We start from the raw sequence: 27,766 nt of genomic DNA, 5'->3' as shown, positions 1-27,766 counted from the left end.
AGGTGGGGTGGTCACAGATTACATCAAATCTGGAGTATTACACTGAGATACTTATAATGTTTCATTAATCTGATTTAACTCAGCATAGGGAATGTAATTTGTTTATCCAGATCCTAGAGTATTAAGAGATTTGTGCAAAACTGAAATTTCTAAGTTGATTTTGAAGATTCCAGATGTTCCATTATTTATTCAAAATGTCAAATACTATATCATATACAGGCTTGGGGTTAGGTTTTCATGTAAGGCTAGAGTAGGATAAAACATACTGTTATGTATCTTTTAATAAAAGGATTAACAAGGGAAAGATATTTGTCTTCTATTCAGAAAAACTATTTAGCACTTATAGAGCTTTGATAAAATCAGGATTGTCAGAATCGTGATTTCTGGAGAAATATTAGAATGATCCAAGCTTCACTGCACACCTTTGAAATCAGACTCCCAATGTGCAATCACAAAGCAGGTGGGAGCTGGGGTTTGAAATCACTGTTCTAGATTAACTGCTTTCTTATTGGAGAATATGCACAAGAAAAAAACCAGAAAACTCAAGAAAGAGGCTAAAAAGCCTACCTCTGTACATTTCAGGGCAATAATTCTGTAAATTTGTCATCATTTGCAGTCTTAATAATTCCTACTCTCAGAGCCAGCCCAGCCTCAAAAATCTGCATTTTAACAAACTTTCATGTGATTCTGGTCTTAGGGTACCATTTTCAAACATTTCCTGTGGGCTCACTTTAATAAGAATGTGGCTGTTGTTAAGCAAAATGCTTTGTGCTATGAGAGGAGAATGAGAGTTGAAGCAATAATATTCAAGGTATGCAGTATGGTTTCACATGCTGTGATTTATTGATGATGATAAGTGATAGGTCATTCTAATCAGTCAAATTATCCATCAGGTATTAGTGTTGTGTTCCAACATTGAGCATCCCATGATCTGTGGATCCCTTTTGACTCACACGCTAGTTCCACAATGAAAGATTAGAGTTGTGCCCTCATAGAAAAATTGCTGGGGATAATGAGCATGCCATTTTCTCACTGACATTCTTCTATTAAATAATGTAGGTAATTTAATTTGTATGGATATACATTCTTTCTAAGGGACTTAAATATATCCCAAATCTCAATTTTTAAAGTAGCCCATAAATAGTTAATATATCATAAATTGGTCTTCATGCCAAAAGGTTCCAAGAAATTCTTCACATATATCACCTCATTTAATCCTAACAACAGCCCTATGAGATAGATACTAAGAATATTCCTATTTTACATATAAAAAAGCAAGGTGTAGAGACATTAAGAAACTTCGATACAGTCATGTGGCCAGTAAGTGCTGGAATCAAGATTTGAACTCACATCTGTCAGACTCCAGACTCATGTAAAAGAACCAAAGGCACATCCAGGCCTGGCTGATTCTCCCAAATGGACTAAAAATATGGGGAAATGGTTATATTTTATTGTATGGTTTAGACTAAGGAGCAAGAAAGCTGCTGCTCCTTTTCTGGACCGGGAGAGAATAATGGAGAGTGGTCTTCATTTGCCTAGTTTTAATCTATGATATGATGATGCTCAGCAAGCAGTGGTTCATGTAACCACTCTCATAGGGCTCTCACAGTTTAGTCCTCAGCCTGAGCACTGCCCACCGTACACCTTTCCAGAGAACATCACATCCATGTGTAATGGAAAAGCTCACGTATAAGTAAGGGGGCTTCTTGTTTAATTTGAAGTATATTGCTACAAATAGTTTTCTGTTTGGATATCAAATCATCTGGGCAGATATATGAAACTGATGGGTTGAGAATAGGTGGACATTTTTGAAACTCTCAAAGGCAAACAATGCAAGGTCCATAACTGTAAGCTACTAGGCAAACTGATGCCACCTCCTGACAAAGCCAGGACATTTTAGACTGTGAAATTATAGAGGAGGAACAGTCAGTTATGAATACAAAATGCTAACTGCAAATCACATCTCTGGCAATCTCAACTACCGGAACATAGCCAGAAACTAAAAAACAATAAAAAAAAATGACTTCTGAAACAGTAAAAGAGAAATCAAAGCCCATGTGCTTATCTCATACAGAAAAGCTTGGCTGTCACTTAGATCTTACTGACTTCTACTTTAGAAACAATTTTAGGAATCAACCCAAATGCCCATCAATGATAGACTAGATAAAGAAAAGTGATACATATATACCATGGAATACTATGCAGCCATAAAAAGGAATGAGATCATGTCCTTTGCAAAGACATGGATGGAGCTGGAAGCCATTATCCTCAGCAAACTAACGCAGAACAGCAAACCAAACACCACATGCTCTCACTTATAAGTGGAAGCTGAACAATGAGAACAATGGACACAAAGAGGAGAACGACACACACTAGGGTCTTTTGTGGGGTGCAGGGCAAGGGGGAGGGAGAGCATCAGGATAAAAAGCTAACGAATTTGAGGCTTAATATCCAGGTGATGGGTTGGTAGGTGCAGCAAACTGCCATGGCACATGTTTACCTATATAACAAACCTGCACATCCTAAACATGTATCCTGGAACTTAAAATAAAATAAAATAAAGATTTTTAAAAAAGAAACAATTTTAACAAAGTTGGTAATCAGCAATAAGTGGGGCAGATGCTAGTGTGAAGCACATTCATAGCCCCAGTAATAGCTGATAACTGATGGAGAAAAAAATCTTAAAAACTATTTTTAAAAATTCAGAAATAGAAAGTTACCACAGTGTGAGAATAAAAAAGGGTAATAGTTCAAAGCCCTGCATGTCTCCTGGTCATAAGGACATCATTCTACTACAGCCTATTAGATTCCATTGTATTACTGATAGACACATTAGTCACGGTCCATCAGAAAGTCATTCATTAATATGCTGCCTACTGTTTAAAAGGTAGGGAAGGATATAATCATTTGAGAAAGAGGCAAGGAGAAAGACTTTTCACTGTTACCTTTTAATCTTAGGGCCATGTTGTTTAGTCAGCTTGGGCTGCCATAACCAAATACCACAGACTGAGTGGCTTAACAGAAATTTATCTTCTTACAGTTCTGGAGGCTGAAAGTCCAAAACAAAGGTGACAGCAGGCTTAGGTTCGTGAGGCCTCTCTTCCTGACTTGTAGATGGCCTCCTTCCCACTGTGTCCTCACATGATCTTTCCTCTGCATGCATGCACTCCCCATGTCTCCTCTTCTTATAAGGACACTGGTTCTTTGTATTAGGGCCCCACTCTTATGACCGCATTTAACCTTAATTACCTTCTCAGAAGCCCTATCTCCAAATAGAGTCATATTGAGGATTAGAGATTCAAAATATGTATTTTGGAGGGAGGGGGGACAACAAAACATAACAATGTGAATATAATACTTATTCAAAAAATGAAATGAGTTTAAAAATAAAAAAGCAAACATTATCCTGCTGCCTCCCCCTCCTCCAGTTTATTGAATGTCTACTACGTGCTAGGTGTATGGTAGTACTGGAAGAAGATTAATCACAATAGAGGGAACTCACAATAGAGTTGCAAAATGAACAACAAGATATTTTAATATTTAATTTCCTGGGAAAATGAACAGTCATTTTCAAATGATATTTCTAAGATGTTGCTGTATACAATGTATCAAACATAGTATATGAGGTATGAAGTATTCTGTTCTCTTTCCATCCTCGTCTACTTTTATTCCTCTCTTTTCCCTTCTTAATTCTTTCTCTCCTCTTATTTCTTGCTTATATTTTCGGTAACTCTTCTTGTTCTGGATTAGGGCCTCTCATTCAAGTAGCCTGGAGACCACTGAAAGTTTCAATTCACTCTTGCTCATTTAAGAGAATTTAGGGCTCAGTAAATATTCTCACTTTTATCTCACGCTCTTGCTTAGGATGGAGGGTAGCAAGGATTCTAGTTTCCACAAAGGACTTGCTTTCACTCCTTTACCTTTCCCGTGTTATTAATATTTCAAATATCTTCTGCTTACTTACAGAAATTTATCCAATGAAGTATGATTTTGTAGTCAAATTATTGTACAAAGGGACTGAAGAAATGTGATTCTGGTTTCACTCTTTATTGTAAAGACCTATAGAAGGCCAAGAAGTCAAGGCAAGTGGTGACAATTTTGAGACCAGTGCCTGCAAAATGCAGGGTTTCTGGCTTACAGAATCACTCACCATTCTAATGAGATCTTAACTCATTAGCAGGAGAAAGCAGTTGCTGAACAGACCTAGTAAGTTCTAGGAAATGTTAAGAGGAATATTTTTTATCTTTGATTTGTGAGTTACGCTTCCTGTTTTAAGTTTGTTTTGCCAGACATCCAAGGTACGCCAGGGAGGGCATAATCTCTGTTCTGCTGCAATAAGCCTCCTGCACACATGACAACCTGGGATGGGTTATTAATATCCTATAATTTGCTGAAAGTATTGAAGCACAGCTTTATATCAGGTTTTTCTTATTCTTCTTCTTCAAACCTCTTGGCATTTCTCTTATCAAGATTCGACAGCAGTAGGCCCATAGCTCAGCTGCCTATTTATACTTCAGCACAAGACTAAGAAAACATTTCATTGCTATAGATAACTTTCTAAAAAGTTAGATTCCTATTTAATGTGGAAAGTTCAAGATTTGCCTGCTTAAAATTGTCAGTTAAGCAGTCACTGTGGAAATTACATTTACTGAGGGGAGAAGACAAGATTGAAAGGAGAGCAGATGTCATGCAAATGGCCTTCGAAGTAAATTTTCTAATGGGGGCATCGAAATTAATGGCCATAAAATCGACTTGAGCAAGTTCCAGGCTAATGACCAGCTGCAGAGTAAACATACCTCCATCCTGACCACCCCACCCTTCCTATTCTAATAACAGCTCTTGCAAGTAAAGATTTCCAATGATATCAAAATTTCTCATGTTGGTTGGGATGAAAATAGTCACAAATTAGAGTCCTATTGCCAATTTGCATACTGACTTCAGAATATTCTTAATCTGTTTAAATTTCTGGCATTCTAGCTGAAAGACAGGCTCACCTTTTAAATTTGCTCAATAAACACAATGTTCTTGAGAGCTAAAATTTTAGTGATATGAAGACATTTGTGACTTGAAGGCTATTTTACTGGAGATGTTTATCTTGCATAATGTCCGTGGTTTTAACATACTGTGCTTGATACATAAAATTCAGTGCAGTGGGGGCAGCTGTCCATGTAGACATTGAGATGCATGTTTTGCTGCTTCACTATTCCAAGGATAGTGTGTGTTTCATTGTAATAGATGACAGGGGAGGTGGGTAGCATCTTAAAATCGTGATGCTAGAGGTCATCTGTCTAGTGATTCCAAATCACAGCTTCACAGGCTGGCTGCAAATGAACTTGCTAAAAACACAATGTTACAGGTCCCACCCCTGGGAGGTCCTGAAGTGGACCCTACAGGTTTGAAGTTTTTTAGGTTCCCTTGGTGATTATGATGTGTCATCAGAATTGGGAACCATTGCTCTTAAGTCCAGCACTTCATTCAACACAGGCAATCATTTATTCTTCCAAATCACAAACTAAAACTTCCTGGGCTAATGGGCAAAATAGACACAAAAACAGACTACCGAAACTACATGTAACTTGGTAAGAAGGCTGTTAACAAAAACACTGATAATAGAAAAATACCAGCATGGTTTTTAAAAGGTTAAATGCCTTTAAAAATGGATATAGTAAATATAAGACTTAATCTTGAAAGAAAGAGGGGAGTTGGTTTGATGGAAGAGAGTGTGAGAAAGGTTAAGTACTGAGTTTTTAAAAACCACAAATATTGGGAAAAACTGCACAAGCACATCCAAGTCAAAATACCTGGTCAAACTAAGCTAAGATGAACCTGGACAGAACAGACATGGGATACTGCATTGTGCTATATGGCTGGCTGTTTTCAGCAGCATGAGGGCAAGTTACATTCAGTGAGGGCTGCTCAGTAGTGCAAAAGATTAAAGGGCTGATGTGAGCCCAAAATGATCCAACATAACTTCTATGTTTTACTAATATTATTCCGCTAGCGGCCAGCTAGATAGGCACTATGTCACATTTAGAAATACATGTCATGATATCGCAGAACTAAATCAATCATCCAGATGGCATGTCTACCAAATGTTTATTCTCTTCTACTCGAACACTTCTGCCTGAGATAGCCTCATCCATTTTTGGACAGCCCTAATAATTAAAAGCTCTTCTGTATTTTGAGCTAAAATTTGTTTTTCTGTAGTGTCTACTCATTTATCCGAGTGTAATTGTGCTTCCACATGACACAGCTTTTCATATACTCAGAAATGGCCATCTTACTTTCCCTATATCTTCTCTTTGCTAAGCTAAGCATTCTTCAATTTTTCACATGCTTATCACATGGCATTGTTTTCAGTCTCTAATCACTCACCCTACCTCCCTTTAAAATGGCCACGGTTTTGGTATCCAGAATTATTCACCATAATACTCTGAATTTAGTTGATCAATACAGACACAACTATCAGGTATTTTAGGATAGGCATTGTATTTCTATGGAAGCAGAGCAAGCTAAATAGGTTTTTGGCAGGAAAATGACATCATGGGTGCATATTCTACTTGCAATTACCCATTACCTAACCTAGAGGGTACCTTCTAACCTCAAGGAACACCCTTGCCCTTGGTTACAGAAACCTAATACAAAGCCTCTGTGGCTACTTGATCATTGGCAGAGAGTTCTACCTGGCCTCACCTTTCCAGGTCCTTCTTCATACCTCCCTAGGCAACAGCTATTTATGAATCTGGACACTCCCTTGAAAATTAGATCATTCTTATCACATACCATTTTAGACTAGCTACCTAACTTTGGACTAGTATGTCCCTGAAAATATTTTTATCTCCCTCATATTGAGGAGAGATCATGCGCCTGAATGGAACCCAGACATTCAAGTTACCTCTTACCAGTCCCTTGGGTAGCCATTCTGTCCCCAAAAGGAACATGAAAAATCTTAAAGCCCTAAGCATGTTTTTAGCATGCACTTCATTTAAATCACATCTTTCTAGACTCAGCAATAGAGGGTTTTTTTTGGCACACAGTTGTTGGGTGATACATTCATCCCTGTAATACTTTACACTGTTAGATTTGCCTATCATGTTGTGGTCCCCATAGTTCTGAAGTATTATCCAACATATTTGTTACACTTCCCCATCTGTATCACTTGCTAATATGACTTTCATGACAGCAATAGATTTTTCTAAGTCATTAGTAAAACTGTTGAGGAGAAAAGACCAATGACAGATTCTTGTGGGCTTATCCCTAGTAACTTCTATCCATATGACATCGATCCATGAAACCACACTCTTTGGGTAACTGCTTTAATAAATTATAAACCTATAAAGCCAACAACTCAGAAATACACATAAAATTAATAAGTTATACTAAAAACTAAGGTCATGAAAAAAGAAGAAAAGCCTGAGAAACTTTGATAGATCAAAGGAAACTAAGGAGGCTTGATAAGTAAACACAACATGGCATCCTGAATGGGATTCTGGAATATAGAAAAAAGATAGTAATGGAAACAATGGTGAAATCTAAATGCAGTATTTACATTACTTAACAATATTATACCCATGTTCATTTCCTAGTTTTAACAAATAACCATGGTTATGTAATAAGTTAACGTTAGAGGAAGTTGGGTGGTGAGGGTTATATGAAAACACTCTGTACCATCTTGTAACTCTCTGTAAATCTAAAATTATTTCAAAATAAAACATTTTAAAAGCTTAAAAGTATTTTTGAAAAAGGCAAAAAAAAACTAATTTTTTTCTAAAAATTAGAAATTTTCTAAAAAAAAACCTCATAATTTCCTATTTATTTTATTATTATTTATCTTATTATCTATGTACTTGAGGTTATTTATTTCTATGGTATCTATATGCATACGTTGTTTTTTTTTCCTAAAGAGCTAGTTGTTAAACACTTACCAACCCACCACTCTTCAAGACTTTCATTACTAATTAGAAACATGGTAATAGTCTTTGCTCATGCTTTGACCATAGTAAACATTTTTAATCAATTGATTACTATGGAAGAATCTGACCCACTGCTATACTTACAAACAAAGTGATTGTGTGATGATGTAGCTTTGGAGCTCTTGTTTTGTTTATTTTGATTTTTAATACAGTTTAATTTTAGGGCAGTTTTAGATTTACAGCAAAATTGAACAGAAGGTATGGAAAGTTCCCATCTACTTCCTATCCCCATATGCATAGCCTCACCCATTACCAACATCCTCCACGAGAGTGGTACATTTGTTACAGTTAATGAACCTACATTGACACATCCTTATCAACCAAAGTCCGTAGCTTACAGGAGGCTTCACTCTTGGCGTTGTACATTCTGAAAGTTTGGATAAATGTACAATGACAAGTATCCACCATTATAGCATCACATAGAGTAATGTCACTGTCCTAAAAATCCTCTGTGCCCCCACCTACTCATCCCTCCCTCCTACCTAATCCCTGGAAACCACTGATCTTTTTACTGTCTCTACAATTTTGCCTTTTCCAGAATGTCATACAGTTGGAATCATATAGTATGTAACCTTTTCAAAATGACTTCTTTCACTTAGTAATATGCATTTTAAACTTCCTCCTTACCTTTTCATGGCTTGATAGTTCATTTCCTTTTAGCATGTTTTAGCACCATTGTTTGGATGCACCACTGTTTGTTTATTTTAGATCTTTTTTATTATTTTAATATATGTTAAATCTCTCTGATAAATTTCTGAATTGCTTTTCTGCATTATCTTGGAGATCACTGAGTTTCCTTAAAACTGCTATTTTGAATTCTTGGCCAGAGAGTTAACATATCACAGTCTCATTGGGGTCAGTCACTGGTTCCTTGCTTTCTCCATATGAGGAGGTCATAGTTTCCCATTTGCTGTTGTTTCTTATGGACATACATAAATATGTCTTTCTATTGAATAATTTGTTCTTTATTTCAGTCCTCTGTCTGGCTTGTTTAGGTTTTTATTGGATATGTTTGCTTAGAGATTCTTTGTAATTTATCTGTTGGTTTTCTTTCTTTTCCCCTAGGTTACTGCCTTCTTGGCACTAGATGTTGCCTTAAGCCCAGGTTTGTCTTGATTGTAGTAAACAATCAGAGTGCCACTCATCTCAAATGGTGGGTGTCTCAGAGGGGATATCCCAGTAGTGTGGGAAGGCTGGCTAGGGTTCATGCCCAAGGGATGTATGGAAAAAAGCCATCTACAGTGTGGTGCTGCTGAACAGCCACTCTGATTTGGCTTCTCCTTTGGCTGAGTTACAGAGCAGAGTTTCCAAGGCTGGGGATGGTAGTCCTATCTTCCCCCTTTGTCTTCGGCCTCTGCCGCCTTTGTCCTCAGGGATATTTCTTGGGGATATTGGCCTTTCCCCTTTGTCCTCGGGGATATTGCTCCTTTCAAGAACTCCTGATGCCTCCTGTGGGTTGAGGCAGGGACAGGTCTCTTTCCAGAAAACCCAAGATGGTAGGGAAGCTGGTTGTTAACCTCAATCTCACTTTCCAGTGTAGAAACTGTGAGTTGGGGAAAATTTTTCATAATCTGTGCCAGACAGATTGTGGAGAGCAATGTCTCAGATACGGAAGTTTGATTCTCTTATTGTGTGCTGGAAGTTGTTTCACTTCTCTATGGTCCCAGGAACTGTCTCCTCTCATATATGCGTTCTGGGATACTGCTGTTGATAATCTCGGCACCGTATATTTGCTTTTTAATTTTCTGTTACAGGGAGTAAAGGTAGTTTGCTTTTATGCAGCCATTTTGGAACTGGAGGTCTAGATGCATTTTTGTGTAGATTGTCTGACTGCATTTTCTACCATGGCTACATTCTTTCTAAAGCAACCAGGTTTTTCTGAAACCTGTAGTTATTTGAGGAATATTTTAAACACTAAAACCATAGGATCACTAGGATTTCCCTGTTGCACACACAAAAAATTACATCATTAACCATCCCCCTCAAACAATCATTCAAAGCGTTACTAACCTAATCACTCCATGTCCTATATGGACTGGGTTACAATCTTACCTACCTAATCCTGGCATGGTCAGGATCACATTTCTCATGTTGACTATAAAATTGCTGTGATATATCCTGCAAATGCTTTTCTGAAATCACACACATTGTGTCTATCGCAGTCTATAGACCAACTGGACAAGTAACTCATTTTTATAAAAAAATTAAGCTGCTCTGATGAGATTTGTTCTTGGTAAACTCCATAATTATGTATCACTTTCTTCTAAAAACTATGTGAGATGGCTCCCTTCTTTATTAGTTTGGTTGCAAACTCTGTGAGACTCAAACAAATGTGAAAGAACTGCAGAAAACTGCTTCCTAATTGTCAGACTTGCGTACTGTGTTCAGAAAAACACAATAACAAGTCTTGCTTCAGAATTGCTTCTGTTTACCCTCATTTTGATCAAAAGCAAGTAATTAAGAAATTTTCTCTCTGGAAGACTTCTAATAAGCACATTTCCATTATCTTTAACCACACAGTGTGAGCTGACTTTCTTTTCTTACTGAATCCTGTAATGTGGATGTGGACATGCATTAATCCAGCCATGGCTGAGCAGAGCTTATCAAAGACAAGAATCAAGGGTCCGCCCCCCTCAATACACAGATTAATAAGTGCAGGATGTAGCCTTCACAGCTAAGGAGTTGAAAAGAACGAGAAAATCTGGACCTCTTTGCATCCCAAGGGACTAGACATTATTTATGTTTTTAACGTAACCGTGTTTTACTGACAGCTGAAAATGTGACAAATTGGAGGACAAATTGAATAGTGAATTTCACAAATGATAATAGATACTATTTATTGTGTCAAATACTCTAGTATACACTGTAAATAAATTACCGAATGTAAAATAATGACATTTTTATCCCTTTTTCATGGATGAGGAAATTGATATTCAGAGATGCAAACTTGTCCTAGATGACCAGGGTGGCAACTGGTCAAGCCGGGATTTAAACACAGGCCTCTTGGGTGCCAGTCTTCATTCTATCCCTCTGACACTCTCTTTGGCTCTGTATTCATCTATACTACTGAGCAATAAAATGGGGAACTCATTTTTGTGCAGTGAGAGCCACATGAAGTGGTTCTCATAGACTATTAGTAAAATCTTTCAAACATAAATGTATGGGCTCATAAGTTATTAATATGTACTTGTGATGCTACAATAACATGTATATTACAAAAGATACAAAAATAGAAAAATTGTAAGATGCTATAAAAGTTAAATATGTTCTAATATCTTCTTCTCTCATCTAGTGGGTAACCTTGTATACCCTTTTAACCTATGGCCCCCCTCACAACATAGAGGTTACTCTTTGCTAAATTTAATTAATTATATGATATCTTGGTATATTCTTATACAATTATTTTAAATAAATGTTTTTACATGACAGTTTATGATTATAAATCCAATTAACAGCAGGCAACACTGGCTACTTTTTATTTGTAGGTGACATGAAAAGAGCATGTCTCTTAAAGAGGATCAAAGGGTGAGAGCCAAACCTAATTTCTGACCTATCCCATGCCTGTGATAAGTTGAATATGTATTGAGCACCTACTATATCTCCCTATAACAAGTTCCATAGCCACATTGCACCATCTGGGCAGGAGTAGCAATAGCATTATTAACCAACAGGGTTTGTGGGGGAGGCTCCTGAAGATTAACAAAGGTTATAAATCATTGAGCTCCTGGTGGGATTCAAAGTGCGGTGTTAACATTTCCAAACTCAGATCTGTCACCTGTTCTGTGTACTGACTATGGATTTACACTAAATGACTGAAATGTTAAGAGTTTAGGCAAAACAAATAATATTTCAAGTGAAAGTTTCCATTTCTCACAAGAATCATTTATATTGTTGACAGGATACTTTATGTTTATCTAGAATACGATACAGGCTATACTTTTCTACCTTAAATTCCCAGCACATATGAAGTGAGAATTTTTCAGAAGAATAAACGTACTATTGGTAGCATAATTTGTCAGGAGTTAAGAGTGCAGTTGAGGTAATGACACTACAGAGTGAACCCTGGATGAATGACTATTTTTATGGTCTTCATGGTGACACAATTGAAAGTTCTTTTGGGTCGTTTTTTTTTTTTAAGACAAAGTTTCACTCTGTCACCCAGGCTGTAGTGCAGTGGTGCGATCTCCACTCACTACAACCTCCGCCTCCTGGGTTCAAGTGATTCTCCTGCCTCAGCCTCCAGAGAAGCTGGGATTACAGGCACATGCCACCATGCCTGGCTAATTTTTGTATTTTTAGAAGACAGGGGTTTTGCATGTTGGCCAGGCTGGTCTACAACTTCTGACCTCAAGTGATCTGCCTGCCTCGGCCTCCCAAAGTGCTGGGATTACAGGCATGAGTCACCGTGCCTGGCTTTTGTGTCATCTTAATTCCCTGGTTCTAAAGTTGTGTTCGGCGGAGTTCAAGAATGTTGCCTGCTACAGGGGTGGGGTAGGAGGAAAACGAGCAGAAACCTAGCCCAGGGTGCTCTGAGCCTCCTTCTCTAACCACAGCAATTCTCTTCTGATCTGTTTTATATACTGGGGATCCCTAGAAGATTCCATTCAAATAACAGGGTCCATTCAAACAATCAACATTTTGGTTAATTTTAAAAATTAACCAAAGCCCTAATATATGTTGGCCATCTTAATGTTATCTTTATAAGTAAAATGTAAAGGCTTCCTGCTGCTCATTTTTAAAACTTGAAGCAAAAATTTGAGCCACAAAGCAGATTTGATAAAACTCCAAGAGCAAAGAGGAATGTTTAAAAGTTCAGCAAATTAATAATGTTATAGCTTCTACATGTGTTCCAAGTTGAGATAAGAATACTTGGATCACCCAGTTAGAATTTCAAGTGGAGATATACAAACTTAATCCCTGCTGAGGATGACCTCTGACAATGTCACCCAGCCCGGCACACATCTGAGTCTTCATGCAGACATATCTAGAGGATTGATAAGATATGTATGGGGTTTTGAGGTTTCAGTTGCTGATTATCAATCTTTGTGGGTGCTTTGAGAGCAAAATCAAGATAGATAAAACTTCTAGCATATGGGGGGAAATTATAAAAATTAAAACACACTGAAAGAGCCAGTGCCCTTTCTCTGAAGGATTTTTCTGCAAAACACACTGGTGAAGAGGTGTCATTTTCAGGTTAGCTGACATTTTAGCCCATCAGTGCTGACAGCCTGCTCAAAACAGACCTTGTTACAGGCCTTTGCTACAGGCAAGGAAATGAACATGCAGTCCTAGGTAGTGGTAAGAAACCACAATTACAAGCACAGACAGACTGCCACAAACTTGGGGAAACAGAAATTGTTTTGACCTGAGTAACTTAGTCTCTCAGACAGGTCTAGTGCCTACACTCTAGAGAACACTCCTTACTTGGTCCAACCAATCCTATGGCTAAATAATGTACAACAGAAAACATACTTTCCAGCTAAGAAGGTCTATCTGCAGCTCACCTTTGCTCTTGTTAAATGTCCATCCTGAAATAGCTCCCTGCCTTTATCCAGATAATCTTCATTTATCAAGAACTAAATGAAATGCCCCCTGCTCTTTAATTAGTTCTGTTTATAGTAATTTCTCTCTTCTCCAAATTCACTCATTCATTCAACAAATATTTACTGAACATCTACTATGTGCCAGGAATTGTAGTTGCTGTGAATACAATGGTGATCAAGACAGACAAAGTCCCTGCCCTTACTAAACTTAAAATTCTAGTGGGGAAGACTAGGGCAACAACGAAAATTATATATAGATATAGATAGATGTAGATACAGAGTTAGAGATCAATAGATACATAAGGATTTGTAGATAGATGACAAATAGATAGATAGATAGATAGAGGTGCAGTTATGCGACACATAACATTTTGGTTAATGAAGGACCACATATATGACAGTGGTCACATAACATTATAATACTGTATTTTAATTTTTCTATTTTTAGATATGTTTAGGTACATAAGTACTTACCATTGTGTTACAGTTGCCTATGGCATTAAGCTCAGTAACATGCTGTACAGGTTTGTACACTAGGAGCAGAGCAATAGGCTATGCCATATAGCCTAGGTGTGTAGCCTAGGTGCCATCTAGATTTGTGTGAGTCCACTCTACGATGTTTCCACAATGACAACATTGGTAATGATATATTTCTCAGAATGCATCCCCATCACTAAGTAACAGATAATGTATGTATACACACATCTACAAATATATTTATATATTACAACTTCAGGAAACAGTGCCATGAGGAAATATCAACCAAGGTAAGGGGAGCTGGTAATAGCCACTGTCTGTGTGACCACTTTCAATGTAACAGCTTGTATTCTGATTTAACTTTTAATCTGTGACTGTTTTGTAAGAGTCTTAAGGGAGAGATGTGCTATCTTCATATCCTCCACAAAGCCTAGCTCAGGTCTTACAACAGGTTTTCAATAAATATTTGTTGCATTTCTATTAGATGACATCCATTTACCAGCATCATGGAGAGGGATTTTGATCTAATGTTGACTAATGGGCTGGCTTGAACCCCACATAAAGATGAGACTCTTTGGGGATGGTTTGCAGCTGTCATAATGACAGATGCTAATTTAAGTCACAGAAATTTTGTTTTGAAATATGCCTAGCTTTCATCTATGCATACTTATTGTAACTACACCGTGGTGGTTCTTAAGATATAACACCTACATTTTCTCTATTTTCTGGAATATCTCTGACTCTATATATTTATATTCTCTTCAAAATAAAGTTTGTAACTATGCTAAACTTGTTAATTATGTCGATAACTTTAATTTCATATTTAAGAATTCTGCACGTAAGTAAATCCATGAAGCACTGGGAAAAAAAACTCTAAGTAAAACAGTGTCTATGGGTGCTCCTTTTCTGTAATGTCTTCAATTTACTTATGTAACCAAAATCTGAATGGCGTGTTCTTTATGCCATTCTTTGCCCTATAAGTCAGTTACATTTTCTAGTAAGTCTATCTATTAAATATCTTCGAATGTCCATGACCACAGGACTGTCATGGGTGAAGGATGTAGAAATGCAGGCAATGATGAAATACTGCACTTGCCCTGGAGTGTGGTGACCAGCTAGACACTTAATGTGCTAACTTTATCAGCAGCTTTCATTCCTCTCCAACTCGTTATGATTCAGAAAGCAGAGCATCCTTTCAGGACGACCTTCACATGTGGTTGTGGTAAACAGAATGTGTGATCTGAAGTCAAATAAATGGGATTCAAATCCTAATTCTGACATTCACTGGCCAGGTGACCTTGGACAAGGTGTTCCATCTCTCTGTATCTGAGTTGCCTTGATGTAAATGGGCATAACAGTAAACAGCTTTTCTAGCTGTGGTGAGGATTAAATGATATATGATATGTAAATGCCTATTAAATGCCTTGTGTATAGGGGGATCTCATTATTTTGTCTCTGTTTTTATCATTATTTTTCACTTATAACCACTTTGTGCCAAGTATTGAAATAGGAATTTGAATAAAATACCTTCTAAGACTTCAAGGAACTTATAATTTAAGTCTAGATAAGGAAAGATAAACATAAGCAGACGATTCCAATGAATGAGTGGATAGAAAGTAATGAGTACACTGCTGGAAAGGTGCCCAGATTAATTTGGGAGCTTGAAGGAAGATTACTGAACTCATGGGGTGTGAGAAGCCTTCCCACTGAATATCACATAGCAGGTCCTAAGGGGTACATTAAGGTAGAATGGGAAGAATGGAAGGGCAGTCCAGGTACAGGGAAGAGTGTGAGTAAAAGCATGGAAGCAAGGCATAGAATGGTATGTACAGGGAGCTACAAGCCATTCAATCTTGCTGTCCACAAAGTCTAAGACAGAGAGTGGTGAGCATGGAAAGATGAACTGGAAAGATAAGCGGGAAGTGGCTGATGGGGTTAACTTATGGAGCTATGTCATGGTAAGTATCCTGAATACCACCTGGTACAAAATTGATAGAAAATGCAAGTAAAGTATTTAAATAAAGAATTGACATGGCTATATTTATTCAGGCTGGAGTATAGTGGCACAATCACAGCTCACTGCAGCCTCTGCCTCCTGGGTTTAAGCAATTCTCCTCCCTCAGCCTCAGTCCTCAGTAGCTAGGGCTACAGGCATGCACAACCAAGCCCAGCTAATTTTTGTAATTTTTTAGTAGATACGGGGTTTCACCGTGTTGGCCAGGCTGGTCCCGAACTTCTGACCTCAAGTGATCCGTCCACTTTGGCTTCCCAAAGTGCTGGGATTACAGGTGTGAGCCACCATGTCCAGCTGACATGGCAATGTTTAAATAAAATATATCACATTGGTGGTTACACAGAAAAGAGATTAGATGAAGATATCAGGAAGTGGAGAGACACAAGATTCTGAACTAGGGCATGGTGGTAGGGATGGATTCTAGAATCAAGAATTAGGTAGGGCTTAATATAGAGAGGAAGAGGTAAAGGAGAACCTATAGGTCTCATCCTAGGTGATTGAAATGCAATAAATTAAGAAAGTCCAGGGAAATTGTGAGGTTTCTAATCTCACCCTATCCTCCAGGATCCTGAAATATCCTACAATTATGGCAGTAGTTGGAATGGAGAGTGATAGTGAAAGCTAGAGACTTCCATGAAATAGAATGACATTAGGGCTCCATAAGCAACAGTGTACCAAGTATACCATGGTATAGCTTAGTGGGATCAACCTCCCAAAGGTATGAGTTTTACACAGGGTAAATGCAGGCCTGTGTGAAGTGACAGTGAGCACCTGAGAACACTAATAAACACTCACCCCAACTTTCCACCTGTACTGTGCACATTATGGAAGAATAATAGCTCCACTCAACAGGTCTGAGGGAGGGACTTGTACTGGGGGTGCAGCCAGGGTTCAGGCAAGACCTAAGAGGAAAACAATAATCTCTGAAGGGAGCTTAAGGGTTTAGGAGGTTTGTTAGTAGTGGCACAAGATTTTCCCTCACTCAGACCTATCAGTTCCCATACTGTCTTCAGTGGTGCCAATATTAAGTGCTCTCTAATTTATTATCCCTTCCCCTCTTAACAAAGCAGACTATTAACTGTTCTGACCTCTGCAGCCACGTGCTCTTCACTGATGCAATGATCAATGCCCATAATATATCTCTTTTCTGAGAAGTTCCAAGCACCTCAAAACTCATCATGGCAGATGAGCAGCTTTTAAACTGTTTGCTGCTGGAGCCTCGATGTAGCCAAGATCGTGAGTGTCAAGGGGCTGTGGTCATGATTGATTCTCCTGATGGGGCGGGGTGCAACTTCGATGGGGACCCTCAGGAATACATCTTACTGTTATCTAACTGGTACCTGAAGATGGGGTTACTCAGTGCATCCCCTCACTAAACAAGACCAAACTGGCTGAGTCTAAGGATTTCCATTACTTTGCAGCATTGCAAGAAGACTTGCTAATGGTTCTGAACTTCTGACTTTAAAATCCATTCTTAGTGAGAATGTATGTGAATGCTCTGACTCCGCTAATAAAATATTTACAGGGAGGGATGCCTGTAGAAACCAACAAGAGCTTATATAAATTGAGGGAGGAGTTGCATCCTTGACTATATATAAATTCAAAATGATAAATATATGTTTGTAAAACACATAGAATTCTCTTTATCCTCTCAGGGTTGGTAGTACTACCCTTTCTTCGTCAACTTACAAGTTCAACGCTAACAAACATATCTACTGAAATGTGTTATTCAAATATAGAGGTTATTGAAAGCACAAGCAGTACAGGAACTAAAACTAGATTCATTCCATTTATTAAACCCTGCATTCAACTATACTGGGAAAATGGATGTGTTCACAACAATACTTTTAAGAAAACTCTTTCCAGATAGCATGTTCAAGGACAGAGGCAAATCCAAGGTTTTTACTTTAGGCTTATCCCTCTCACAAAATAACTCAGCCATGATGTTCACGGTGTTGATGCCTCCTCTTCTATCTTCGGAATCCCTTCTTGGCTGTTTTAAGAAAATATAGAATTAACTTTAGATATACAACTAAGAGACACCTTGACATGTCACCTGGTTGGTGAAATTATTTTGAGAGTGGCCTTGCCAACCTTGTAAAATGTAAATGAAAAGCATACTAGCATGGATCGCAGACTATTTATGGTATGATCATGTGAAATTGCAGAAGCAAAGAGACTGCTTGCTTTTCAGGAAGGCTGGATTGGCATGGAACACCCTTTCCATGGGTATGTTTCCTGGCTGCCTTTTGGAATCAATTTTAGGGCAAAAGCTTGTGAGGCTGGAGGCAGGAAATGGAGAAAATCTTGCATAACAGCAGTTTCAACGATATAGTTGATATAGTCGCTTTTTTGTAGAAAGTAAGAGAGAGGACACTAACAGCTTATTTAAATAGAATGACTCAAATTGGGTTTTGTGAACAAGGATTTGACAGAGTCCATGCTAAGCACATTTGCAAACAGAGAACATGAGGAAACTGCTTGCATCTTTGCTTTTGTCTTCAAAGTTGAGATTTTCCTTTTCAAGTGCTCTGAGCACCCCTGGTGCCTGAAGACAAGTTTGTGAATGCTCATACCCAATTGAGAATATTTGACATTTACATTTCAATAACATCTGCAAGATTAATTTTGTTTTTTCCACTGCTGTTGTGTGCAATGCAAAGAGCTTTATATCTGCCCAGAATAATCATGGTTTTTACAATCTGTAGTTATGTCTAGAGGCAACAGATTCAGGCAGGAACCTACAGAGTCAGGAGTTTGTAAGTTGTAGGGTTCGGCAACTAATAACCTCTGCAGACTTGAAAAGTCCTATTCAAAAATAAGTGTCTGTGACCTTTCAGTCCTAGCATATAATTAAAAGTGACAGGTAACCAGTGTTTCCCCATTGGCCAGTGAAACATGGCTGGGTTGGAGATGTTATCTAAGCTGTGGTAGTTATGGAATGAAGCACCAGTTCTCTCTACTTATCTAAAGTTAAATTTGTTTATTGAAGTTGAAGCTGTACTTTTTTGAAACATAAAGGACTAAGCTGGGCATGGTGACTCACACCTGAAATCCCAGCACTTTGGGAGGCCAAGGCGGGAGGATCTCTTGAACCTAGGAGGTCGAGGCTGCAGTGAGCCATGATTGTACCACTGTACTTCAGGCTTGGTATTAGAGCGAGACCTTGTCTCAAAAAAAAAAAAAAAAAAAAAAAAAAAACCCATAAAGGACCGAATGGCCTCTATCTTACTGAATTTTAATTAAAATCAACATTTATTAGTTGTCTTCTATGTGCTAAGCAAACTGTAAGAGACATACAAATGATTTACACTAAAATAGTATACTAAGAGGATAATCCATGTGATACTACAGTGCATAGGAAAAAATAGTGTCTGATATTAAAAACGGAATCCCAATATTTTAGTTCTAAAACCTTTTCCTCAATGTATGTTTAAGAACGATACTAAATGCAATGGTTTTCTTTCTTCTTTTGAGAGAGATAGGATCTTGCTTTGTGGCCCAGGCTAGTCTCAAACTTCTGGTCTCAAGTGATTCTCCCACCATGGCCACCCAAAGTGCTGGGATTATGGACATAAGCCACTGTACCCGGCTGCTGAATGCAGTTTTATAATTGTTATTATTATGCAGTGATCAGTCTTTAAGAAATGGTGTCCTGTGTCCAAGAACACTAGAGAATCTTGTAAAATATCCTCTGATGCTGAACGCGGAATCTCTTCACTGATGCAGAGACGGCATTCACCATTAAGAAACCCTGAATTACGTATTCTAAACTGGCTATTTGCTGGTCTCTGTATGCCAGAGGTCTTCAAATTTTCTTACTTCTGTCCCCTAAAATAAGTATGAAAGACTAGATACTCCTGTACATATCCTTAGGCTGTTACCTAAAACACTTCACTATTAGTTTAAGTAGTTGCAAAGACATAATTTCAGCATATTACAAATACTTATAAATATCAATTCTTTCTTTCTTTTTTTTTTTTTTTGAGACAGAGTCTTGCTCTGTCACCGAGGCTGAAGTGCAGTGGCACAATCTCGGCTCACTGTAACCTCTGCCTCCCAGGTTCAAGTGATTCTCCTGCCTCAGCCTCCTGAGTAGCTGGAACCACAGGCACATGCTAACACACCTGGCTAATTTTTGTATTGTTAGTAGAGACGGGGTTTCATCATGTTGATCAGGTTGGTCTCGAACTCCTGACCTCGTGATCTGCCTGCCTCAGCCTCCCAAAGTGCTGGGATTACAGGCTTGAGCCACCGTGTCCGGCAATATCAAGTGTTTCATTACAATTTTAAATAAATGCAATGAAATCTAAATGCCATAGTGTTTTTATACACATCATCATCTATTTAAAAGATACATGACTATATTGGTCCGTTTTCACACTGCTATAAAGATACTACCTGTGACTGGGTACTTTATAAATAAAAGATGTTTAATTGACTCACAGTTCTGCATTGCTGGGGAGGCCTCAGGAAACTTACAGTCATGGTGGGAGGCAAAGGAGAAGCAAGCACCTTCTTTAAAGGGGGCAGGAGAGAGAGAGTGAGAAGGTGGAGGTGTCAGACATTTATCAAACAACCAGATCTTGTGCGAACTCACTCACTATCTCAAGATCCGCAAGGGGGGAAATCTGCCCCCATGATCCAATCACCACTAGGTTCCTCCCTTGATATGTGGAGATTACAATTCGAGATGAGATTTGGGTGGAGACACAGAGGCAAACAATATCAATGACCATGCTCTTTGATGACTGGACATTTTACCCAATATTTTGCCTCTTTGTGAGGTTTTTTCATTTCACCTCCTTCACATAATTTTGCCCTAATGTAATATGATGTTATGCTTGGAAATATTTTATTGATAGCCCTACCATATTTCTCTGCTATAAATATATTTTGAAACTGAAAATTACAAGAAAAAAGTTTTTTGTTTTGTAAACATGAAGCTGTAAGTATTAAATTATTTTTCTGTACTGTTATTGTTACAATTATTAGTTGTACATGGTTGATTAAATAAATATAAGTATGTTTCAAATTTTGAAATGTAATTATTGTACAGAAAAAGTAAAATGCTATTGGAAATCCACTTCTGAATGCAATATATTTCTTTCTCAGTTAAGGTAATCTTGGATGAATATTATTTAATGCTGAAACAAAACAGGATTCAACATCAGTTCAATCCTTATTACCATCTTTTAATGCATATAAGTGCTGAGTAATCATCTGATGGAAATGAAGAGTTCTGAGTTACCAGTTTTTTATCTCCTGAGTTAGATGCCAAAAATCACACAGTGATCTATCATCAATGATTATTTTTTCATGATCTTTCATCTGACAATTTAAAGAAGTCCTCTTCAATCAAAAACTAACAAGAAATTGGAAAATCTGACTTATAAAAGGGTATGTTACTGAGTCATTATAGTGATTCACTTTTTAGTTCTTGGGAACTATAGCAACTTGTAAAATCTGTACAAAGACTCATCAGCGGATATTTAATTCTTAATTAAACTCATTCTAGTCTTTCACTTAGAGGCACCTTGTTTGTGCATCTTTAAAATTAAGTGAAACTGAACTTAAACATTTTAGGCTTTTTCCTATTGTCTGTGAACAAAGACCTATATCTTCTTGCCAGACTTCCATCTATTAGAACATATTAAAGCAACTTTAAAAGGGCATGGTAAATAGACAGACAGACAGGCTTGATATTTAAATAGGTAGATAGCTAGCCAGATATACAGATTGCTACTTCCATTTCATAGTAGAAGATTATTAAGTGTATAATTATGAATCTGACAGAATTGGAATTGCATATCAATATCTGAGAGGGAGTCACTGATCCTATTTAAATAAAGTTGGCTCTTCAAAATCCAGCACATTACAAGCTAGATTGCATTTCGGGAAAAGCGTATTCTATACTTAGAAATTAACATCAAGAAGTAGTAAGGGCAGGGCTTAAAAGTGGATATGAGTGCATTATTGATTGTTGTTAAATGCATTATTTACAATAGAATCCACACATATTCAGGTTAAATTAATATGTATCATATAAGGAGATGATAGAAATAAAATGAATTTGCAGAAAAGAGGTTGAAGAATGACCATGAGCAGAAGCTTTGTTCCCAATAAACAAAACTGGAAGAATATGGGTTTATATTATCCAGTTATGGTTTGGTAGGTCACGAAATTATTTCTTTTATAGGTCTAAACAAATGTGTAAGAAAAGCTACCTCTGATATGTTTCAGTTTCACAAAAAGGTCATGATGATCTGTTGAAAGTAAGCACGGACATTTTTACCTTCCTCTCTTTGAAATTATACGAAATATGTAACTACATACATGTACTCTCTTGCTCTCTTTTCGTTATTGAAAATGGTGAATGTATCAAGATGATGTGCTTCATAACCAGTTGACTATTCCCCAGCATACTTGTTACAAATCTCAAATATCTTAAGATAAGCTTGTATGGTATGAGTATATAGGGATCCTGTCAAGAAAACAAAAACCGCATGAAGCATTTTAACATAAAATCTACTATAGGGACTTGGTTTTCCAGATGGTGGAGGGCTGAATAGACAACAGGGCTCGCCGGGGTAACTCTGATGTACAACAGCAGGAGCAGCTGCTGTTCAGGGAAGAGGTTGGAATAATCACAGCCCAGAAGCTCTGAGAAAGAGCTGGGGCTCAGACCTCTGAAGAGGAGCATGACCTAGCTGTTGCCATTACTTCTGAGAACATACCAACAGGCTGGCTCTCAGGTTTTCAAAAGAGGCTGGAGACTGGAACCAACTGCTGCTGTCAGGCCAAGGTCACTGTTGGGATGATGCTGAGAGGAACAACAAAAAAACAAGAAGAAAGCCCCTTCTCCCACTAGATGCTAGTCTCTCTCTAGCATCCCTATTTGCAGACTGATGTGGTTTGGCTCTGTGTCCCCACCCAAATTTCATCTTGTAGTTCCCATAATTCCCACCTGTTGTGGGAGATGATTGAATCATGCGGCTGGGTCTTTTCCATGCTGTTCTTGTGATAGTGAATGGGTCTCACAAGATCTGATGGTTTTAGAAACAGGAGTTTCCCTGCACAAGCTCTCTGCCTGCTGCCATCCACGTAAGATGTGACTTGCTCCCCCTTGCCTTCTGCCATGACCTTTAGGCCTCCCCAGCCATGTGGAACAGTAAGTCCAATAAACCTCTTTCTTTCATAAATTGCCCCGTCTTGGGTATATCTTTATCAGCAGCATGCAGACAGACTGATACATAGACCCTTACAGGAAGCCAGTGGGCAAAAGAGAAAGAGTCCTAGGCCAGTCCCATGTAGTACTGTACAGAAAGGAAGGTTTGCAGCTGAAAGGTAAAAAACTGCTCAGCATAAGGCTGAGCCTTAAGCCTGTCACCGGGATGCTAGTGGCTGCCTCCCCAACTAGCAGACAGGCACCCATGTTTGTTTTCTTCCCACTATTGCATCTCAATGCCTGGAAAAGAGGCCAGAACTTAGTAGGCACTTACTAAATATTTGTTGAACCAATTCCGAAGAAACGGAATCTAATCATAGATATCTCTGATTGCAAAGCCAATGATCTTAATTCTTTTCACTGATGCTACAACACCCACTGCCTTTGAGAAGGAATCAACCAAAGAGAATTGCTTCCTACTTTACAAGTTTGCCTGTAAGGGGCCTTGGCAGCCCATTTTATTAATGTCTCCAGTGCTATGAGAGTAAACCAGCAAGAACTGATACAACATTGGCAGTGACTAATGACTTCAGTCTGCCTCTTTTCACAACACAGAAAGGAATTTTACCTGATGACCAAGTAGACATAAGATCTTTACAAACTGACACAGTCCAGATTTTATTCTGTGCTTAACTGGAACTGCAAAAACAAAGTGATAACTGTTACAAGAATCTCAGGAACATTTCAGACATGATTGTTTTCCAAAAGAGAACAATATATGTATATTACTCTTTATTAAAACCCATAAAAACTCAAATGACACCAGTGGCAAATAAGAAGTTGTAAATAAGTCATGGCCTTCTTAAGCCCATGGATTTGCAGCTAGCTCCTGACAATGTGTCTCTAACCTCCTTGCTGGATTCAGTCACACATCACTGCACAATAGGCATTCTCTGCTCTTTAAAACCCTGAGATGCCAGTGCCATTCTCATTTGCATTTTTAAAAAGAGAAAGAAAAAGAGGAAGTTTTGGAGATTAAAAAAACAGGTACATTGTACACAACACTATGACAATCCAATGGGGGTACATATGTTCTAGCTGTAAGCTGGTAGGCATTTAGACTTTTGCTACCAGCCCCACTGGGCTCAAATAACCTTTCTCAATGGTGTCAGATGCATAGCAGAGTACCAAGTCCCATTCCCACAAGGGGAATAAGCAGACCACTGACATTATGGCCACCTTTCACCCAGCACAGAAATTTCAAGCTGCCTTACTTTTAGCAGCAGCTGGGCTTGTGTTCTATAAGACTGAGTAAAACTCAGCAGAACTTCTTTGGAAACTTGTGCCTGGCTCATTAAGACGTATTCTGATATCTTACACATTACTTTGATATTTAAGGCCACGTAAGGATGTTGTGGATTCCTGTGGCTCCTTTTGGCAAAAGTTGAGTGTTAGTAGAGTTTTGCTGTTGAATGTCATGTACCAAACCATTGTGTTTTCTGGAAAGACAAGCTGAGTTTTGCTTGATGCTTAGTTTGGAGAGGATAAAGTTTCTCCCTTTTCCCTCACTCCTGGGGTTGTCTGAGTATACTCCCTGGATTTCTGATCCAGGCAAATGGGGCACTGGGTTATTTTATATTCAGTCACACTCACCTGCGGTGGATTTTATGACACATATAGTATTAAAGCCAGAATTTCACTTGGAGAAATGAAGTGTTGGCATTGGAGATGGAAAAGCTTAGGTGGAGATTATTTTTGCAACCTATGGAGTAATGTTAGACCAACATATGGCTTCAGATGTATGGTGTCTCCTCCTTGGGCCCCCCTCTGTGGGGAAGGCCTTAGGGCACACAGTTCAGAACCAGGCTGCCTGAGCAAAGCTGACTTGTTAGATCAGAATGGCTAATGAACATGAGAACCACTGAGCCATCCAAAGGCAATTTTTATCATTAGTCTCCCACTCCCGCAACAGAAATTCTTTCTCTTTCTCTTTTGTCACCTCTTTATCATTGGTCTATAAGTCTGTTTCTGTTTCTTTTATTAATTTTTTTTTTGAGACAGAGTCTTGGACTGTCACCCAGGCTGGAGTGCAGTGGTACTATCTCGGCTCACCGCAAACTCCTCTTCCAAGGTTCAAGCAATTCTCCTGCCTCAGCCTCCTGAGTAGCTGGGATTACATGCACCATCATGCCTGGCTAATTTTCGTATTTTTAGTAGAGACAGGGTTTCATCATGTTGGCCAGGCTGGTCTCGAACTCCTGACCTCCCAAAGTGCTGGGATTACAGGCACGAGCCACCTTGCCCGGCCTGTTTCTTTTTCTTTTTTTTTTTCCTTGCTTTGTTCTCCTATGTCAGAATCTTTGCTGTTTCATGCTTACCCCTTAGTGTTTTCGGAATTAAAAGGTTATGGACCCCTAATGTAAAACAATCTTTAAATTGTGGTCGGGTTTTCTATAGAGCATTGGTGATTACAAGTGATAAAGACATTTTATAATGGTTTTATCATGCTAATTCATGGGACTGATGCTTTTATCTCTTTTATATAGAGTTGTAATCTTACCACCAAGAGCATTTTTCCCTGTACGTCAATAGTTCTCAAAGTGCAGTCTAAGGAACCATAGAGGTCATGGAGATCCTTTCAGGGAGTCTGTGAGGTCAGCATCTAAAAATAGTAATACTAATATGTTATTGATCTTTTTTACCCTCATTCTTGTTTTAAAAAAAATTTAGCCAAGTTAAATTTAAAAGAGTTTAATTGAGAAAGAACAATTCGTGAATCAGGCAGTGTCCCAACCTAGAGTAGGCTTGGAGACTCCAGCATAGCCACATGGAGGAAGATGAATGGATGGAAAAAGGAAAGTGACCTACAGAAAACGGACATGAGGTGCAGAAACAGCTGAGTTGGTTACAACTCAGCATTTGCCTCATTTGGACAGTTGGCCACATTTGATTGGCCAAAACTCAGTGATTGGCACAACAGTAGGCCACAGTCTGTTTACAATTCCATTTAGGTGATAGTTCACGACGTACAGAGAAACCTTTAGGCTGAACTTAAAATATATAAGGAGGCAGCTTTAGTCTAAACTTGATTTAAAATTATCTTACCTGTGTACAGTGAAGTTTTTCAGAAGTTACATGATATGCTATATCACAATAGACTGAATGCAGAAGCAGAAATGAGAATCCAGCTGTCTTCTGATATTAAAGAAATTAGCAAAACTGTAAAGCAATACCATTATGTTCACTAATGTTTTTGTTTTAAAAAATAGTTTTCACAAAATTATGTTATTTCTGTTAACATATAATTGGTTTATTAAGTTTATTATTGTTGGTTTTAAATGAATCAACCAATATGTTAAAAATATATATTTATCAGTAGATCTAATCCACATAAAAAAAAACTCTCTGGGATCTTCAATAATATTTGAGTATAGTCTTGGAACCAAGAAATTTGAGAACCACAGTGTTAGATTATAGCCTGACCAGTCAAGTATCAGCCTTCACTTCAGTGTAACTTCTGTAAAGTGCATACCTTCTAGGAGAATTTTAATAGGTCAAAATAAGCCCTGATAATTTGAACTCCAAACTGTATTGGGAATCTAACCACTGTTAACCACCCTAATCACATATACTCTAATCAACTTAGACTGAAGTTACTTTCCCCAAATCTGTTTTGTTGCATCCACTTGTATCCCACTATAATCCATTCTGAATATTGCAATCAGGACAACCTTTTTAAAATGAACTTCCTTATCATGTGCATTGCTTGTCCAAACCCTCCATTGGTTTCCCACCATACTAAAAATATACTATTGTATGACCTACAAGATCCCATATGATCCCGTTCTGTTGGTCTCAACCTCCTCTCTGAGCATTCCTGTTGGTCACATTGGCCTTCTTGCTCTTCCACTCATGTTATTCCCTCTGCCTAGAGTGCTCCTTCCTCAGATATTTTCATGGCTTCATTTACCCCTTTGTCATCTCTGAGTTCTCACAAAATAGTGCTCTACCTTCATCCCACCCATCCTCTTTATCCTCTTATCCTTATTTCTCCATTGCCATTTCACTGCCTGACATTATATTCCATATTATTTGTGTATTATCAGTCTCTCCCACTAGAGTGAAAGCTCCATGAGGGCAGAGACTTCGACAGTCCTACTTATCACAGTATATCCCAGTGCCCAGAACTGTGCTTGGTACTGAGTAGATACTCAGTAAATATTTATTGTGTAAGTGAGGCCTAAATGCCTAAAACTTTGTAGTCGTGTGCTAACTTAACATGTGCTAAAGGCCTAAAACTTTGTAGTCATGTGCTAACTTAACATGTGCTATGTACCTCTTAGCTCTATACTAGGTACCAGAATATGGAGATGAATAAAACACAGCCCAAAGCCTATACAGTCAACCAGAATGAAATCAGTCTTAGAAGAGAGGTACAGGTAAGGTGAGAGAGGTACTAAAGATAAAAGGATTTATTTCAGTGGAGAGGTTCACAGAAAGCTTTGTGATAGAGGGAATTACTGAAAATGTTTAGTGATATTGATTTCAGTGTTATCTTATCTGGGCTTTGCAAAATCTTTTCACTTTGTTG

General features: G+C 38.2%; 1 long non-coding RNA gene across 1 annotated transcript; it reads right to left on the bottom strand.

The window, feature by feature from the left end:
- Window positions 1-17,777: 17,777 nt before the first annotated feature.
- LOC101927342 (uncharacterized) lies at window positions 17,778-25,810 on the bottom strand. Its single transcript, NR_125939.1, has 3 exons — window positions 25,736-25,810; window positions 23,804-23,874; window positions 17,778-18,000 (listed from the first exon to the last, which is right to left on the bottom strand). It is a non-coding gene; the product is annotated as an uncharacterized LOC101927342 (long non-coding RNA).
- Between the last annotated feature and the right edge of the window lie 1,956 nt (window positions 25,811-27,766).

This window comes from Homo sapiens, chromosome 1 (assembly GCF_000001405.40).
Source record: "Homo sapiens chromosome 1, GRCh38.p14 Primary Assembly".
In the NCBI taxonomy this organism is placed as follows: Eukaryota; Metazoa; Chordata; class Mammalia; order Primates; family Hominidae; genus Homo; species Homo sapiens.
This window is presented reverse-complemented; position numbering and strand designations above follow the sequence as displayed.